General features: G+C 39.8%; 1 long non-coding RNA gene across 1 annotated transcript; it reads right to left on the bottom strand.

The window, feature by feature from the left end:
* Nucleotides 1-412: 412 nt before the first annotated feature.
* LOC107986260 (uncharacterized) lies at nucleotides 413-6,477 on the bottom strand. Its single transcript, XR_001741594.2, has 3 exons — nucleotides 5,235-6,477; nucleotides 2,041-2,187; nucleotides 413-506 (listed from the first exon to the last, which is right to left on the bottom strand). It is a non-coding gene; the product is annotated as an uncharacterized LOC107986260 (long non-coding RNA).
* Nucleotides 6,478-20,143: the final 13,666 nt, after the last annotated feature.

Raw genomic sequence — 20,143 nt, 5'->3', positions numbered from 1 at the left:
GAGATTTACAAAGAGTTGAGAATCCAGCCTGGCTACAGGATGCTAAGCAGAGCAGGGCGTTATGGCCCCAGGAGACCTGGTTCCAGGTGGGTTCTTTCCTAAGCCACAAACCCACCAAAAGCAGCATATCCTCTAAGATAAACACCCACAAATGCCCAGGGAAAATGTTCCAGGTGGTCGAGAACTCAATTCCTAATGAAAGCTTGGAAAATGAATTATGGCTCGGTGTCCTTTTACCGAAGAATAGGAATGTTCTCTTATATAACCACAGTACAATTAGGAAACCCAGGGAAGTTAATACTGATATTATCTAATTCATAGTTTTTAATCAAATGTCCATCAATTGTCTCAATGTCTGCTCTAGCTCCCCTTACCCCCAGCTCAGTGAAGGATCCAGTACAGAATCACGTTGTTTGGTTGTCATGTCTTTAATCTGGAACAGTTCCTCATTCTTCTTTTGATAATTTTGAAGAGTGAAGGTCACCTTTTTTTATTTGGTAGAAAATCTGTCAAAGTATAAAAAAAAAAAAACAAAAAAAAACAAAGGACACTTGGGTTTGTCTGAGTTTTCTTCATGATTTGATTCAGGTTATGTATGGCAGGATTCTACCAGAAGTGATGGTGTGTCCTTCTTGGTGCCTCTGATCAGAAGGCTCATGACATTCATTTGTTCCAAAATTGCTAGCGTTAACTGTGATCGTTTGTTTAGGTGGTGTTTTAGGTTTCTCCATTTTAAAGTTACTATTTTCCTGTTGTAATCAACAGGCAATTTGTAAGGGGCACTTTGAGACTGTGTAACTATCTCAAACTTCTGTCCACAGCATCCAATGCTCATTTTTGAACTCCATCCTTTCTTCTGTATTTAGGTGTTATTCTATTGTTAAAAAAAAAAAAAGCTTCTCCCCATTTATGTATTTACTCAATTATTTATAGAGAAATGCATGGATTCGTGTTTTTTTTTTAAACATGTACCCAGTGTGTCCTCTATATCCATGGGAACTTGATCTGTGGTTGGCTGAGTCCACAGATGTGGAACCCAAGGATACAGAGGGCCTACTGGGGGACTTAGGCATCTGGGGGATTTTGGCATCCATGGGGAGTCATAGAACCAATACCCCGCAAAAACCATGAGACACCTGTTATTCATTACTGCCATCATTTATTTTGCCATTAAAATGTTCAGAGATTTGTCCAATGGGACCTTCCTCAAGATGACCTGCATGTGCTTTTGATATATCCCTGTCGTTCTTTGAGCACTTCATTACTTTCTGGACAAGTGGCCTCAGGCTCATCTTGTCCCTGTCTTCATCCTGAAATTGACCTCTTCTCCAAGTTTACAGGCTTCCTTTCAGTTGGGAATGACATTTAGAAACCAAGATAAGGGCACCAGGTGGGCTGATCATTTGTTTAGGTGGTGTCTGTTAGGTTGCTCCACTTTTAAAGCTACTATTTTTCCCTTTATAATCAATAGGAACTTATAGGGGACACTTTGAGACTGTGTAACTATCTCAAACTTTAATTCCCAGCAACCACTGCTGAATTTGAACTCTATTCCTTCTATATTAGGTGTTACTCTATTGTTAAAAAAAAAAAGGGCTTTCATTTTTCCCCATTCATGCATTTGTAGGCCCTCTGAGTAGGAGGAATACACACACGTACATATGCATACACACACTGAAATTTGAGACCCATTGCCCTAGAACAAAGATAGGAAAACCTAGAGAACAAAATAGTTCTTTATTTACAAAAATGGGCAGCTGACCCACAGGTCATGCATGCTGATCCTGCTGTAGCACCATGAGATTTTCCAGTCGTGTGGCAGAGCCACTTGGAGCTATAGCTTAATCTGCTGCACATTGCTTTCTTGTTCTTGGCTCCGCAAAACTGGCAGCCTTCAGAGTCAACCCAGTTAGTGGGTGACAGCAATATTCCCAAGCATGATATATGATATTTCCAAATCAGAAGGGCTTCCTAGTTCCTTTGATTTACAATAGGAAGTACATGTAAGATGCAATAACCACTGTTCCCCTAAAAACTCACCATTTTGGCCGGCTGCTGAAATTCTGTAGGGATTTCTTCTGCCCACTGGTGCACATATACCTTAAGGCTTCCACCATTCTTCACTGTTTTCTCCTTTTTACCTCATATCTTCATGATATCATCAATATAATGGATCAGCATAATAGTCTGTGTCATATCCAGATGATAGAACAGCCATTAAAGTATATTGCTGGAAAAAGCATTAGAGTACAATTTCCTGGGACAAGACCCCGATTGTGTACCACTGTCTATCCCAGGCAGATGCAAAAGCTTTTGATCCTCCCTTCTGATGGGATTGAAAAGAACGCATTCACCAAATCAATGACCACATACTAGGTAGCAAAAGCTATGTCATAATTATCTGATAATTATGAAACCACAATAGTTATAATTAGGCTACCACGTGATGGAGTTGACAGTAGTTATATCAATCGTGAGCCATGTGGTTTTTTTCAGGAGCCAGACTGGCAAATGAAATGGAGATGTAACGGGGAACAGCAACCTTATCTCCTTAAAATCTTTGAGCTCAGCACTCCAATGACACTCCTTGCCATTCCACCCTACATAATATATTGATGTATATTTACTGTCTTGGCCTGGAGGTTGGGTAACTTCAGAGGGTTCCACGTAGCTGTTCTGATTACATAGGTGTACTCCACAGTTCAAGGACTTAGTGTGAGTGTTCTGCCAGTTACTAGGTATATCCATCCTGATCAATGCACTCAGGGATCAGGAAAATCAACACAGGTGAGTCCATGAACACACTGACGCCCTGTGAAATGGATTTAGGCCAGGACTCTGTTTGCCACCTGGCCTCTATTTACCTCCTCCAATCTAAGAAGGAAGCATGAAGGCATATTAGCCCTCATGGTTTTAGCATCCTCTTAGTCCCTATATCCAACTGCCCTTGAAAGATATGGGTATTTCCCTTCCCCCATTGTACAGATATGTTGATAAAAGGCTGTAAGTTCCTATGAGGAAGGACTGGGAAATTAACTAGTGAATATACTTGATGTCCTATTGCAGGGTCTTTCCTCAAGGAGATTCAGGCTTCTGTTGAATCAATGGCTCTGTTCTGGAAATTAAGAATCATGGTTTTTCACTGGGAAGGCTGATGTCAGTCTGAGTATTAGTGAATCTATTAGTACTTTTTGTTGGCTGTCCATTGACCTTGCCCCTAACAACTTGGCGGTGTGTTAACTATCACTATAGATTCCTACAGGTGAGGCCTCCTGGTTGTGATTCTGTCCTTGTTGCCTATTTCTACATGTGTCCACCTTGCCTCTGACAGTTTAAGCTGCCACCAGGCCCTCCTACTCCTAAAACCTATCCTTCTTCTTAACACTAAGCTGCCTGGTGCTAGAACAGCCTCCTGGACTGTCTGTCAATCTTGGCCACGGGGCATATCTGAGTTCCCTAGAAAATTACTTAACTATGTGCTTCTCAAAGTGAGAATAAATCAAGTAAGAATAGAACAAAGGCAGGATGAGGGAAATCCCTAGGTGTGGTGAAGGGTCGAAGCCCTGGAAGACATCTGTAATGCGCTCATCCCCATGCTTGCATCAGGGAGGGCAAGCCACTTTTCCCAATCCTTAGCATATCTTGAACTAAACTCACTTAAGTCCTATTTTCTACCACCACATTGGACTGACACTCTCTGAAAAGCTTGGAATTTTCCCCACAACCGACTTTAATTCTGAACTCTCTCAAGCAATTTAGACATTCTGGCCTGAACTGTCAGCTGTCACCTCTTGAGCCTCATTGTTTGAGAAGCAAGGCACATGGCTGTGCTCAGTAAGAAATGCATCTGGCAATTTTGCAACATACCACACCTACTGGATGTAGTCAAGGTAGGGCTGGCTGCAAGATAAACACAGGATGTTCAGTTAAATCTGAATTTCAGATCAACTACTTTTTCTAGTATGTTCTAAATAAGTACATTCTAAATATTGCATGGGACATGGTCTATCAAAGGAAAACTCCATTCTTTATCTGAAGTTCAGACTTACCTGAGCATCTACTTTTTTTTTTTTTTTTTTTTTTTTTTTTTTTTTTTTTTGGAGATGGAGTCTTACTCTGTTGCCCAGGCTGGAGTGCAGTGGCGCAATCTCTGCTCACTGCAACCTCTGCCTCCTGGGTTCAAGCGATTCTCCTGCCTCAGCCTCATGAGTAACTGGGATTACAGGCACACACCACCACGCCTGGCTAATTTTTGTATTTTTAGTAGAGACGGAGTTTCACCATGTTGGTCAGGCTGGTTTCAAACTCCTGACCTCGTGATCCACCCACCTTGGCCTCCCAAAGTTCTGGGATTATAGGCATGAGCCACCACGCCCAGCCGAGCATCTGTATTTTTATTTGCTAACTCTAGAAACCCAAACTGGGAGTGGCTTCAGTACACACAGTTTTGAGGCAACATTGAAGCAAACAAATAACATTGAAGCAAACGGTTTTGTCAGAGGCATTTAAACCAGAGCAACTCCATCTTAAATAGGAGCTGGGTAAAATAAGGCTGAGACCTACTGGCTGCATTCCAGATGGATAAGGTTGAGGCATTCTAAGTCACGGGATAAGATAGGAGGTTGTCACAAGATACAGGTCATAAAGACCTCGCTGATAGAACAGCTTGCAGTAAAGAAGCCGGCCAAAACCCGCCAAAACCCGCCAAAACCCACCAAAACCAAAATGGCAACAAGAGTGACCTCTGCTCATCCCTAGGTGTGGTGAAGGGTCGAAGCCCTGGAAGACATCTGTAATGCGCTCACCCCCATGCTTGCATCAGGGAGGGCAAGCCACTTTTCCCAATCCTTAGCATATCTTGAACTAAACTCACTTAAGTCCTATTTTCTACCACCACATTGGACTGACACTCTCTGAAAAGCTTGGAATTTTCTGCTCATCCTCACTGCTACACTGTGTGTTGCCAGATTCTGTACAAATTTGGTATACAGCTTAACAAGCAAAGAACTGTAATAATACAGTTATAGCTCCTCACCCCCGCCATCCCCAAAAGAAGATAGGTTTGGTTTTCTATGGTTCATATAACCCCTAAGCAGTGGAAATGTGGGACGAGATCCCATGCATTTACATTCTAGTCATGTTAGGGTTCCCGAGAGAAACAGGACCAATAGAATATAGATAGATGGATGCTAGATATATGAATACATATACAGAAAGATGAGAGATTGACTCACAATTGTAGAGACCAAGAAGTCCCATGATCTGCCATCTGCAGCCTGGAGCCCTAGGAAAGCCAGTGGTGATTCAGCCTGGGTTCAAAAGCCTAAGAACCAAAGGAGCCACTAAGCAAAGAAGGTGGATATCCCAGTACAAGAAGAGAGCAAATTTGCTTTTCTTCTTTTTGTTCTATTCAAGCTCTCACGAAATTCGATAATGCCAACCCACATTGGTGAGGATGATCTTTATTCAGTCTGCTGGTTCAAATGCTAATCTCTTCCAGAAAGATCTTACAAGTAACATCCAACTGGCCACCTGGGCATCTCTTAGCCGTAGCAATTAACCATCACGCTAGTTCTGTCATTCATTGGCCACATGACCTTGAATACACTTAGCCCCTCTCTGTGCCTGTTTCCTCATCTATAAAATGAGAATACTAAAAGTTCCCACCTCATGGAGTTGATATAAAAATTAAATGAGTTAACACATGTAACACACAGAGCCACACCTGGTGCATAAAGTCTCATTGAAAGGTAGTTGTTACTGTTGTTGATCTGTGTTTACACTCTGCTGAAGTTGAAAAATCTCATCACCTGACTCCTTTCACTTCCTTGCTTCAAATCTATTTGGGAGAATGGGGCTAATGTGGAGTTTATTCCAAAGGTGCTAGTGAATTTTTAATCAACTTCCTTTATTTCTTCCCAGTCTGAGTTTCAAAAGCAGCAGCTAATATTTGTTAAGTACTAACAGGTACTGTCCTAAAAACAAGACATAGCTCATTTCACTAAATCTCCCAACAATCTAAGAGGTTTCCACCATTATTATCCCAATGTTATACATGCCGGGACTTCGCCTCGGCACCCAGCTAGGAAGTGGGCATGCTCAGGGTTGCCTCCAGGCCAGTGTTTCCCCCAGGGCTGCTAACTATGATCCTACTATTAGTTCTCCTCATACCATCCCTTCTTTTCACCATGAGGCTTATTCAAATCCCACCTGACCTGTAAAGTTGAGCTCTACCCTTTCATATAAGTCAGAGTGGCCTCTGCAAGGCTATTTTGACCTTTTTGTTTTTATATTCTGCGTCTTTTCACTTGGAAAGTGAGGTCAAAGGGACAAGAAATAAAGCAAGCAAACTTTTGTTATTTTGAAGGAAACACCTTCCTCCTGGAAATCTAATACCTCCTATTTCCCAGATCTGTGCAGCAGATGGCAGTGTTCAATTAGTCAAAATAAAGTTCTAGCCTATGGACTTGCTGTTTAGTTCTAAATTGCTCCATGACCCCTCAGTGCTTCCTGGTGGTACTTTATAAACTGTCAGCTATTTTAAATAGTATCACTGTATTATCAAAGTCACCCAGAGTGCCAGGGGAGATGTGAATTAACTTCACAGTAGTGACAGGAAACTCAAAGTCGAGTGCAATATTGAAAGTCGCAGAAGCAGTAAGTGGCTGACCCAGAACCCAGGTCTTCTGGGTTCAGTGTTAGCACATCACACCTCTGTGAATTAAAGGAGTTTTAAAGATGATGGGGATGTTTATTTCAATCTTCCTCCTACATGAGAAACTCTTGTCCACTGGGCCACGCCCCTGTCCAGCCTTCCGCCCTACCTCCCATTATATGTTCTATGTTGCTATACTATCTCAAAACAACTATTCTAAAGCTAGTTTAATGACATTAGGTGTATTCAAGCAGAAAATATAAAGGAGGGAGAAATTAAGTCCTGTGATATCAGTCTCTCTAGGCATTAACCCAACAGGGTTATTTTTTGAGAGCTTTTATGAAATCAATTCTATTTATCTATTGGTAATTTACCAATATCCTTTTGCACTTTTAAGTGGTTGCTCTAGGAGTGACACTATCTGTGCTTAACTTTTTACAATCTACTTAGAGTTGATATTTAGGCCCATTACAAAATATGTAGAAATCTTGTAAATATGTATTCATTTATCTACCACTATCTTTTTTGATATATTTATTATGTGTATAATATCAATATACATTATAAACCTCATAGGACAATAATAATTTTTGCTTTAAAGAGTATTGTGTATCTTAAAGGAAGAGGAAAAGGTCTTTACCATTTAGTTGTCAATTAAGAATAACAATCTAATTACCCATATACTTACCATTTCCAATGATGCCATTCCTTCCTGAAGATTCAAGTTTTCCTCTGGTATTCTTTCCCTTCAACCTGAAGAAACTACGCTGGCATTTCTTATAGTATGGGGATGCTGACAACAAATTCTCAGTTCTCTTTTATCTGGTAATGTCCTTATTTCATCTGGAAGGACAATTTTGCTAGATATGGAATTCTGGATTGACAGTTGTTTTTTCAACACTTTAAAACACTGTTTACTTCTCTTTTGGCCCCCATAGTTTCTGATTAGAAGTTGGTAGTAGTTTTAATTATTGCTCCCTATATATTGCATGTTTTTCTCTGTATGATTACATCTATCCTTGGCGTTCCCCAGTCTAAGATGTGCCTTGCCATGATTTTCATGTGTTTATCCTATTTAGGGTTTGCTGAGCTTCTTAGATCTGTACAGTTATATCTTTCCCTAAATTTGAAAATGTTTCTGTTGTCATTTCTTCAAATATTTTTACCTGCAATTCTCTGTTCTTTCTCTTTAGAATTCCTGTTACCTAGATATTAGCTTTTTCAATATTGTTCCACAAGTTCCCGAGGCTCTTCATTTTTCCAATATTTTTCCCTGTTCTTCAGGTTCGATAAATTCTATCATTCTATCCTAGAAGCTATCAACTCCTATTGCTTACAGGAGTTTTCTTTTTCTCTGGAAGCTTTACCAGGTCTTCAATTCTATGGAAAAGTCTTGACCCCTTGACCCATCATGGGCCCAGGCCATTATGCTGCTGTCAGGAGCTATTTCCAAAGACCTCATTGACTCATATCAGGAGAAAACCAAACCAAGTACCAAATTAATACATAGCAGAAGCTATTCACAAACTTAAAGATGACCTACAAGTTCATTCTCAAGGAGATCACAGTCATGACTGCAGCAGTTTCCCAATTACAGAGCCTCTCAAGTGCCTTATTTCCACTGGGCAGTGAAAAAGAAAACCTTGAGTTCACATAATCTAGTATACTTGCCACCTCTTCATTTAAATGGTCTCTTTACTTAGCTCAGTTGCTGCTTTGATAACTCAGTGAATTCTCACTCTTACAGAGTTTGACCTCTTCAAGTTCTCCAAAAGAGAATCTGAAGACTCCAATGAAATGTCCATAAGATCCTGGTGATGGGGATGGGAGACACAAGATCTTTGCACCCTCCATGGTCTTGCTCTGGATTCTCCCTTTACAACAGACTAGTAGGACTGGGCTGCTCTCTGGACTCAGAAGAGTGATTCATCCAGTTTAGATTTTGGGGAGAATATATGGTTCCAGAAATTTTCTGTTTGAAGGCCCCTGTAACTAATGGCATTCCACTTCTCATTGAGCCTCTGTCAGCGCACTTTCTAAGCATTTTAGTGCCCCATTATGGCCAAGCATTCTCTCAAGCTCACCCATTTCCTACCTTTAGCCATCACTTAGCATTATATGAGAAGTAGGTGCATGTGATGTTTCTTCTAGTGTTTATAGCCTATGCTAGAAGTCTTATGGAGGTGAGTCACTTCTAGTGGTCCTCCTTTTAGGTCCCTGATCAATCTGGCCCAGTTATTCTCCACTGCCCTTGAGTCCATGTATATTCTTACTTCAGGCCACTTATGTCTTTAACCAGGTATATCACCCAATTCTCTGCTCCACTGTTTTTCAGGCCACCTCTGAGCAGGGGTCTCAGGGCTGCAGAAGTCTATTTGTAATTGGTACCCACATACCAAGCCAAATTATCCAAAGGGTGAGTTTTTTTTTCCTCTATTAGCTGGTTACAGGGAATCCCTCCCCACCCCAGTCCCCAGAGAGCTGTATGAGCTACTCTATAGACTATTAAAAGGAATTATACTGGAAGGAGAACTCCTGACACTGCCTCATCAGCAAACTGTGGTTGCTAGTCCACATTCTCCAGAGTCAGTATGAAATGTGGCCTATCAAAGTCTTGTGAGCCTGGATGTAAGAGAATCTAAACAAGACCCCTAGAGATCATGGCAGGCTACATGGTCATTTCAAGTACCACGATGCCATGTACCATGCTCAGTTTCTACTAGCATGTGGGCCTAGAGCAACTCATGCATTGGCATAAAAGGCAAGCACTGGGGATGGGTTCAGGTACTGTTAGTTTGCATCTGCATGCCTTCAAATAAAACTAAAGCAACAACCAGAACAACAACAACAAAAAAAAAAACCACAGGTGAGGTAGAGCAGATCTGAAGTGGCTAAGTAGTTTCTGGTCCATAGGATTACCAAAGTTAGAACTCAGGGATTGGGTTAAATAACATTAAATAAGGCTGAGAGAAATAGTGAGCTAGAAGATGGAGCTGAAGAAATTGCAGTGTAAAGACAGATCAAAACAGGAGAGAGACTTTGGGAAACATGGAAGACTGAGTAAGAGTGTCTTTAAATGTCTATTTGGAGTTAAACAGCTTAAAACACAGGGCAAAGGCAATACTATTTGAGACTGAAGAGATAATTACCAAAAATTCTCAAAACTAAAAAAAAAACAAAACACCAATCCAGACTTGTGAAGCTTAACCAAATCCCAAGCCAAATAATAAAATAGAAGTTAGCGGGCTGGGCGCAGTGGCTCATGCCTGCAATCCCAGCACTTTGGGAGGCCAAGGTGGGTGGATCATGAGGTCAGGAGTTCGAGACCAGCCTGACCAACGTGGTGAAACCCCATCTCTACTAAAAATACAAAAATCAGCTGGGCATGGTGGTGTGCACCTGTAATCCTAGCTACTCAGGAGGCTGAGGCAGGAGAATCGCTTGAACTTGGGAGGCAGAGGTTGCAGTGAGCCGAGATCATGCCACTGCACTCCAGCCTGGGCAACAGAGCAAGACTGTGTCTCAAAAAACAAAAAACAGAAAAACAAAAAAAACAAAAAAAAAACAAAAAACAACAACAAAAGGAAATTAGCTACCAAGACACATCCTAATGAAACTGTAAAGACAAAGGCATGATCTTGAAAGCAGCCACAGAGTAAATCATTCTTACTTAGGAAATATAAGTTGACAGTGAGTAACAACAACAATGAAAGCTACAAAGCAGTAAAATTGTATCTTAAAAGTGATGAGGAAAATTTATAATACAGTCATGCATCATATCATGAAAATTCAGTTAATGATGGACTGCATTTACAATAGCAATCCCATGATTATAATGGAGCTGTCAACTTCCTGTCACCTGGTGGCATAGCCATCATAATGTTGTAGCACAATGCATTACTTTTCTGTTTGTGATGGTGTCGGTCTAAACAAACTTGCACCGACAGTAGTATAAATGTATAGCACATATGATAATGTACAATACCTAATACTTTATACAATAAATGACAGTTACCAGTTTTTTACTATACTATTATTGCTAAACTATACTCCTACTTATAAATAGTAGACTGTGAAACAGTCTAGGCAGGTCCTTCAGGAGCTATTCCAGAAGAAAACATTGTTACAGGAGATGAAAGATCCATGTATGTTATTGCCCTTGGAGACCTTCCAGTGGGACAAAATGTGGATGTAAAAGATAAAGTTATTGATGATCATGACTCTGTGTAGGCCTAGGCTAATGTGTGTTTCTTTCTTTGACTTGAACAAGAACATTTTACAAAGTAAAATAAAAAAAGGGAAAAAAGCTTATAGAATAAGGATATAAAGAAAATACTTTTGTATAGCCATATAAGGTGTTTTAAGCTAAGTGCTTTTTTTTTTGAGACAGGGTCTCACTCTGTCACCCAGGCTGGAGTACAGTGGCTCAATCTCGGCTCACTGCAACCTCCGCCTCCCGGGTTCAAGCAATTCTCCTGCCTCAGCCTCCCAAGTAGCTGGGATTACAGGCATGTGCCACTACACCCAGCTAATTTTTGTATTTTTTTATTAGAGACTGGGTTTCACCATTTTGGCCAGGCTGGTTTCGAATTCCTGACCTCAAGTGATCCGCCTGTCTTGGCCTCCCAAAGTGCTGCGATTACAGACCTGAGCCACTGCGCCGGGCTAAGCTGTTATTATAAAACAGTAAAAAAAGTTTTTAAAAATTAAAAGTTTACAGAATAAAAAATTACAGAAAACTGAGGCTAATTATTGAAAAATATTTACTAAATTTAGTGTAGCCTAAGTGTAGAGTATTTGTAAAACCTATAGTAGGATATACACTGATGTCCTCGGCCTTCACATTCACTCACCACTGACTCACACAGATCAACTTTCAGTCCCTGCAAGCTCCATTCATGGCAAGTGCCCTACACAGGTGTACCATTATACTTTATTTTTGCTGCTCTTTTTCTACATGTTTAGATACACAAATATTTATTGTTGTGCTAAAATTGCCTACAGTGTTCAGTACAGTAACCTCCTATACAGGTTTGTAGCCTAGGAGCAATAGGCCATACCCCACAGCCTAGATCTATATTAGGCTATACTATCCAGGTTTTAGTATGCTCTATAATGTTTGCCCAACAGTGAAATTGCCAAATGACACATCTCTCAAAGCATACCCAAACTGATAAGCAACGTAGGATTGAAAAATTTTTTAGACAAAAAGGATTTACCACCAACATAACCTCCCTAGGACAAATTCTAAAGGATACACCTCAAAAAAAAAAATAGTGACAGAAGCATGGGCTGTAATGCAAGCAATCATATTGGTAACAATTGACCATGTAAAATAACAAAAATGATTTATCTGTGGTGTTTTTTAAAAGTGAAATAATGAGAATAGGTTTACTATATTATGGAAATCAGGGAGTGTCTGGAGTTAAGATGTTCCATATGCCTTTATATTCTAGAAGAAGATAAAAGTAATAATTGACTTTAGAGATATTCATTTAAATAGGCACATTAACATTTCTGGGCTGAAATAATTAAAATAGAATATCATGCTCTTGGTAGAGAGAATACAATAGTCTGTAAAGAAAAAGGCATCAAGCGAGGGAAACTAAAAATAATTGAGACAAATATAAAGCACAATAAGATAGGAGTCATAGTGGATCACAACAAATATGAAGGAGTAAAATCTCTAAACAAGGATTCTTAGACTTGTTTTAAAATAAAATTTATCACTTATAAGAGATTCACCTAAAACAGGCACAGTAAAAAGTAAAAAGATTGAAAAAGAGATTCTAGGCAGATGCTAACTTAAAAATGCTGGAATATCGTTTCCCCACCTCCCTCCATCTTACACAAATAGACTTACATTAAAAAGCATTTAACAGGGAAATTCTTCATAAATTTATTTCTGTCATTATGGATTTATCACATCTGGGAGAAAAATCCACATATGTATAGAATCTACTGGCATCACATGTGGCTAGAAATGTTAATGTGCCTATTTAAATGAACATCTCTAAAGTCAATTATTACTTTTATCTTCCTCTGGAACATAAAGGCATAGGGAACATCTGAAGTCCAATCACTCCCTGATTTCTATAATATAGTAAATGTATTCTCATTATTTCACTTTTAAAAAACACCACAGATAAATCATTTTTGTTATTTATAAACATTTTGTTATTTATAAATCATTTTGTGATCACACAGTAACATGCCCCTACAGGGGACTCCCCTCCACACCCCAACCTTCCCCTGTTCCCTGCAAAAATTCTTTGGCTTAGCATGCATCACCCACTTGGAAATAGCAAGATAGGGAATGAGGATCAATTCTGGGAGCTTTAACTCAAGAAGAAAGACAAGAATCCACTGGAATCATGAACACCCCAGATCCCAGAGAGGAGAACATGGGCAAATAACTCTCATGATGGTGTCTGGTTGGTAAAAGTGAGTGAAGCCCCAGTACATGAGAAAGGCAGTGAACCTTCCTCTGTGATTTAACTTTCCACTGCCGAGCCAAGCAACCCAGGCCAAGGGAGAGCATTTTGTTTCTCCCAAGCCCTAGAGCTAACTAGGGGAGAGGCTTAGAGGCACTGAGAGGGCAAGACACTGGAAAAAAATTGCAGGCATTTTCCCAGACCAGGGACTGAGAGCAGAACACCATTTTAACCCAGGCACATATGAAGTCTGTCATTCTTTAGTGACATGGCAATATGGCCATGCAGGCATTTGAGTCTCAGGCCAAAGACTCAAGCATTTGCACTGGAGCAGGTTAGTGGCTTCCACAGCCAGAATGGTGGAAAGCACCTCAGCAGCAGGTGCTGGAATTGTGCTTTCCTGTTTCAGGTCTGGGGCAGGAGGAGAGCTGCTACAGCTATGGTTTCTCCTGGGCAATGAGACTTGCAACCAGACTTACTTGTGACAGGTACCTACTCTGCGTGTGTCATTTCTGGGTGCCCCAGCCTGCTCCCCTGAGATTGTGGTATGTCAGGACCTTCTCTGCTCTACCCTAGGCACAACTCCAGGCACTTGAAGTACATGCTTGCCTGGACCAGCAGCCTGAGCTGCCCCACACTTTCTGGACATAGATCATAGTACAGGGGGCTCAGGGGAAGGCCTCTCCACTTCACACCCAGGCAGAACTCCAGGAATTTGAAGCACCTGCTCACCTTGATCAGCAGCCTGAGTCACCCCACCTTTCCTGTGCAGAGATCATAGTGTAAGGGGATCTTCATTTCATGCCCAGGCATATCTCTAAGCATTCAGAGCACCTGCTCAGCCAGACTGGAAGCCTGAGCTGCCCACTTTTCCTGTACAGAGATTGTGGTGCAGCAGGACCTTCTCTGCTACACACTCAGGCAGATTTCCAGGTGTGTGGAACACCCACCTGAATGAACTAGCAGCCTGAGTCACCCCACCCTTCCTGTGCAGAGATACTGATGGCCCTCTCTGCTTCCTGCCCAGGCAAATCTCCTGGCAGTCAGAGCACCCACTCACTGGGATCAGCAGCCTGAGCTGTCCCACCCTTCCTGTGCAGAAATTGTGGTGAAGCAGGGCCCTCTCCATGTCCAGGCATATCTCCAGGCAGTTGGAGCACTCCTTCATCTGGATTAGCAGCCTATGCCATCCCACCCTCTCTATGTAGAGGTTGTGGTTTCGTGGGGCCTTCTATACTCTATGCCCAGGCAGATCTTTAGGCATCCCTGGGGTACCCCTCTCCTGGATGAGCAGTTTAGGCTTCCCTTCCTACCTGTACAAAAAACTTGAGGCTGAGAAGTTTCCCAATTCCATGCCTAGGCACACATCTGGGCACTTGGTGGCCACCCAATGGACTCTCCCTTGTGCTGGCCACTGGAGGACCTATAGGTAGTCCAGCCTCACCTTCTTTGTCTGGTTCCACCCATCTTGCCTCCAACCCTCCCAAGTCTTATCAGAAAGCTCAGGCCACTGTGTACTCTACACATCACCCCACTGTCCAAGGCAACAGAGTTCTCCCAGCAAAAGGGGATCAAGTATATACCCAGCTATGTTAGCTGCAGTTGGCTTTTACCCATAAGCATCTTCTCCTGGCTTGTAGGTCAAACTGCACAGCCTAATATAAAACCTGCTGACACAAGTGCACAGGTCTATAGAAGCAAAGCCAAAGGACCTTACTCAACATTCTCTACAGTCACATCCTCTAAATGAGGGTAGGAAAGAGAAAAAGGAAAAATAATCTTATAGGTTAAGAAATTAAAATTTAAAAATCTTACCTGCATGAAAATAGTTGCAAAAATTACAAGTGCCAGCATCTCCAGATGAGATGGAACCAGCACAAGAATTCTTGCATGATGAAAAGTCTAAATGTAGTGACACAAAAAGTCTAAATGTACTGATCACACTAGCTCTCTCCAGCAATGGTCCCTAACCAAAATGCAAACTCAGAAATGACAGATTAGGAACTTAAAGTATGGACTGCAAGGCAGCTCAATGACATCCAAGACAAGATTGAAAATCAACACAAAGAAACTTCTAAAGCAATCCAAGAAATGAAGGAAAAGAAAAATCTTAAATCAATCAGAACTTCTGGAATTGAAAACCTCACTTGAGGTATTTCAAAATACAATTGAAAGGTTTACCAATAGACTGGACTGAGCACAAGAAAAAATTTAAGAGCTCAAAGACCAATCTTTTGAACTAACCTTGGCAGACAAAAATTTAAAAAAGAATTTAAAAAAATGAACAAATTCTGAGAAATATGAGATTATATAAAGCAACCAAACCTACAAATTATGGCATTCCTGAGAGAGAAGGAGAAAAATAATCTGGAAAACACTTAAGAAAATTTCTCTAATCTGCTACAGAGGTAGACATCCAGACAAAAGAAATACAGAGAACACCTGCAAGGTACCATACAAAATGAACATCACCAAGGCATATAGTCACCAGACTGTTTAAGGCCAATGCTAAAGAAAAAATCTTAAAAGCAGCTAGATAAAAGGTCAGATGACGTACAAACGGAGCCCCATCATGTTAACAGTGGACTCCTCAGCAGAAGCTTTACAAGCCAGTAGAGACTGGGGGCCAATTGTAGTATTCTTAAGGAAAGGAAATTTTGACCAAGAATTTCATATCCTGCCAAAGTAAAGCTTCATAAGCAAAGGAGAAATAAAATTTTTTCCAGATAAGCAAGTGCTAAGGGAATTCATTACAGCTGAACTAGCCTTACAAAAGATCCTTAAGAGAGTTCTAAACATGAAAAAGAATGAATGATACCTGCTACCATTAAAAGACACTTAAGTACATAACCCACAGACCCTAAAAAGGAAACACACAATATAAACTACAAAGCAACCAGCTAACAAACTTCATGATAGGATCAAAACTTCATGTCAATATTAACTTTTATTGTAAACAGTCTAAATACCCCATTTAAAAAGGCACAGAGTTGCAAGTTGGATAAAAAACCAAGACCCATCCAACTTCTGTCTTCAAGGGAACTGCCTCACACATAATGAAGCCCATAGGCTCAAAGTAAAAAGTTGGAGAAGGAAAACAGAGCAGGGATCACTATTATATCAGATAAAACAGACTTTAAACCAACAACAGTGAAAAAGGACAAAGGCAGGCATTACATATCAATAAAGGGTTCGATTCAACAAGAAAAATATTCCAAATAGAACTATTCCAAATACGTATACACCCAATGTTGGAGCACCCAGATTAAGAAAACAAGTACTTCTAGACCTATGAAAAGACTTAGACAGCAATATAACAGTGGGGGACTTTGACTTCTCACTGACAGATCACTGAAGCAGAATACTAATAAATAAATTTTGGACTTAAACTCTGCACTTAACCAATTGCTCCTAATGGACATCTACAGAATATGCCATCCATCAACCAAATATACGCTCTTCTTATATGCACCTAGAACACACTCGAAGATTGGCCACATGCTTAGCCATAAAGCAAGTCTCAAATTAAAAAAAAAAAAAAGAAAAGAAAAGAAACACCAAATATACTCTTGGATCACAGTGGAATGAACAGAAATACCAAGAAGAGCTCTCAAACACTACACTGTTACATAGAAATATAAACAACTTGCTCCTGAATAACTTTTGGTAAACAACAGAGGCAGAAATTTAAAAGTTCTGTGTAATAAATGAAAACAGAGAAAACATACCCAAAATCTCTGGAATGCAGCACATACAGTGTTAAAAGCAAAGTTTATAGTGCTAAACACCTATCTCAAAAAGTTAGAAAGATCTCAAATTAACATCATACTTAGAGGAACTAGAAAAACAAGAACAAACTAACCCCAAAGCTAGCAGAATAACTAAAATTAGATCAGAACAAAACAAAATTGAGAACCAAATATCTGATCAATGAAACCTAAAGTTGGCTTTTTTGAAAGGATAAACAAGATCGATAGACTGCTAGCAAGATTAACAGAGAAAAAGATACAAATAAGCACAATGAGAAATGACAAAGATTACACTACAACTGATCCAATAGAAATGCAAAAGATACTCAGAGACTATCATGAACACCTCTATGCACACAACTTAGAAAATCTAGAGGAAACTGGCTGGGCGCAGTGGCTCATGTCTGTAATCCCAGCACTTTGGGAGGCTGAGGCAGGCAGATCACGAGGTCAGGAGATCGAGACCATCCTGGCTAACACGGTGAAACCCCATCTCTACTAAAAATACAAAAAAAAAAAAAAAAACAAAATACAAAATAAATACAAAAAAAACACTAGCCAGGTGTGGTGGCGGGTGCCTGTAGTCCCAGCTACTTGGGAGGCTGAGGCAAGAGAATGGCGTGAACCCGGGAGGCGGAGCTTGCAGTGAGCCAAGATTGTGCCACTGCACTCCAGCCTGGGCGACAGAGCAAAACTCCGTCTCAAAAAAAAAAAAAAAACAGAAAAAGAAAAAAAAAAAAGAAATCAAAATATGGAGGAAACTGATAAATTCCTGGAAACATACAACCTTCCAAGATAGATTGAGAAAGAAACTGAAGCCCTGAACAGACCAAGAGAGTTCTGAAATTAAATCAATAATCTACAAACCTACCAACCAAAAAAGACAGCAGAGCAGAAGGATTCACAGCTAAATTCACATCTAAATTCTACTAGACATACAAAGAAGAGCTGGTCCCAATTCTATTAAAACTATTCCAAAAAATTGAAGAGGAGATACTCCTAATTCAATCTATGAAACACCACTCTGATACCAAAATGTGGCAAAGATGCAACAAAAAGAGAAAACTACACACCAATATCCCTGATGAAAACAGGTGCAAAAAATCTCAACGAAATGCTAGCTAGCCAAAATCAACAACACATTAAATGTATCATTCATCATTACTAAGTGGGATTTATCCCAAGGTTGCAAGGATGGTACAACATATGGAAATCAATGTGATATATCATATTAACAGAAGGGACAAAAATCATATGATTATTTCAACTGATGCTGAAAAAGCATTTGATAAAATTCAACGTTCCTTCATGATAAAATCCACCAAAAAACTGGTTATAGAAGGAACATACCTCAGTACAATGAAAGCCATATATGACAAATCCACAGTATCATACTGAACAGGAAAAAAAAAATGTCATTCCTCTAAGATCAGGAACAAGACAAGGATGCCCACTTCCACCATTGTTAACATAATACTGGAAGTCCCAGCTAGAGCAATCAGACAAGAGAAAAAAATAGGGGCAGCCAAATTGGAACAGAAGTTAAATTATCCTTGTTTACAGATCATATGATCTTATATTTAAAAAAACCTTAAGACTCCACCAAAGAACTATTAGCACTTATAATTAAATTCAGCAAAGTTGGAGGATACAAAAATGAACATATAAAAATTAGTAGCATTTCTATATAACAGTGAATAATTGGAAAAAATAAAGTAATTCCATTTACAATAGCTAGAAATAAAATACCTAGGAATAAACTTAAGAAGCAAAAAATTTCTACAATGAAAACTGCAAAATATTGATTCAAGAAATTGAAGAGGACATGAGAAATGCAAAGACATTGCATGTTCATGGATTGGAAGAATGAATATTGCTTAAATGTCCATATTACCCAAAGCAACCTACAGATTCAATGCAATATGTATCAACATACCAATGACATTCTTCAAAGAAATAAAAACCCTGTAATTTATATGGAACCACAAAAAAACCAGAATAGCTGAAGCCATCTCAAGCAAAAAGAACAAAACTGGAAAAATCACATTATCTGACTTCAAATTATACTACAGAGCTACAGTAACCAAAACAGCATGGTATTGGCATAAAAACAGACACATAGATCAATGGAAGAGAGAATCCAGATATAAACCCACACATGTAAAGTGAACTCATTTTCAAGAATGGTGCCAAGAACGTATACTGTATTGGGGAAAAAAAAGTCTCTTCAATAAATGGTGCTGGGGAAACTGGATATCCATATGCAGAATGAAACTAGACCCCCTATCTCTTACCATATGCAAAAAATGTATTAAATATTTAAATAAATATAAGACATGAAATTACTCAAATAAAACACTGGAGAAACTCTCCAGGACATTGGTGTGGGCCAAGGTTTCTTGGATAATCCTCCAAAAGCAAGGCAACCCAAAAGAAAAAAAAAAAAGACAAATGGGATCACATCAAGTTAAAAAGCTTCTGCACAACAAAGGAAACAAAGTGAAGAGACAACCCACAAAACAAGAGAAAATGTTTGCAAACTACCTATCTGACAAGGGATTGATAATCAGAATACATAAGGAGCTCAAACGGCCCAAGGAAAAAAAAACCTCAATCCAATGTAAAAATGGGCAAAAGATACAAATACACATCTCTCAAGACACACAAATGGCAAACAGGTATATGAAAAACATGCTCAACATCACTGATCATCTGAAAATTCAAATCAAAACTATGAGACATCATCTCATCCCAGTTGTGATGGCTTTAATCCAAAGGATAGGCAACAACAAATGCTGATAAGGGTGTAGGGAAATAGGAGTCCTTACATAATGTTAGTGGGAATGTGAATTACTACAAGTGCTATGGAGCAAAGTATGAAGGGTCCTCAAAAAAAATCTAAAAATAGAACTCCCATATGATCCAGCAATCCCACTGCTAGGTATATACCTCCAAAGGAAGGACATCAGTCTATCAAAGAGATACCTGCACTTCCACATTTATTGCAGCACTATTCACAATAGCCAAGGTTTGGAAGTAACCTGTGTCTATCAACAGACAAATAGATAAAGTGTTGTACATATACACGATGGAGGACCATTTAGCCGTACAAATCAATGAGATTTTGTCTTTTGCAACAACATGGATGGAACTGGAAGTCATTATGTTACGTGAAATAAGCCAGGCACAAAGACAAATGTCACATGATCTCACTCATTTGTGGGAGCTAAAAATTAAAACAATTAATCTCACGGAGGTAGAGAGTAGAATGATGGTTACCAGAAGCTGAGAAGGATAGTGAAGAG

This window comes from Homo sapiens, chromosome 4 (assembly GCF_000001405.40).
Source record: "Homo sapiens chromosome 4, GRCh38.p14 Primary Assembly".
Lineage (NCBI taxonomy): Eukaryota > Metazoa > Chordata > Mammalia > Primates > Hominidae > Homo > Homo sapiens.
The sequence above is the reverse complement of the archived record's forward strand: the minus strand, read 5'-3'. Positions and strand labels throughout refer to the sequence as shown.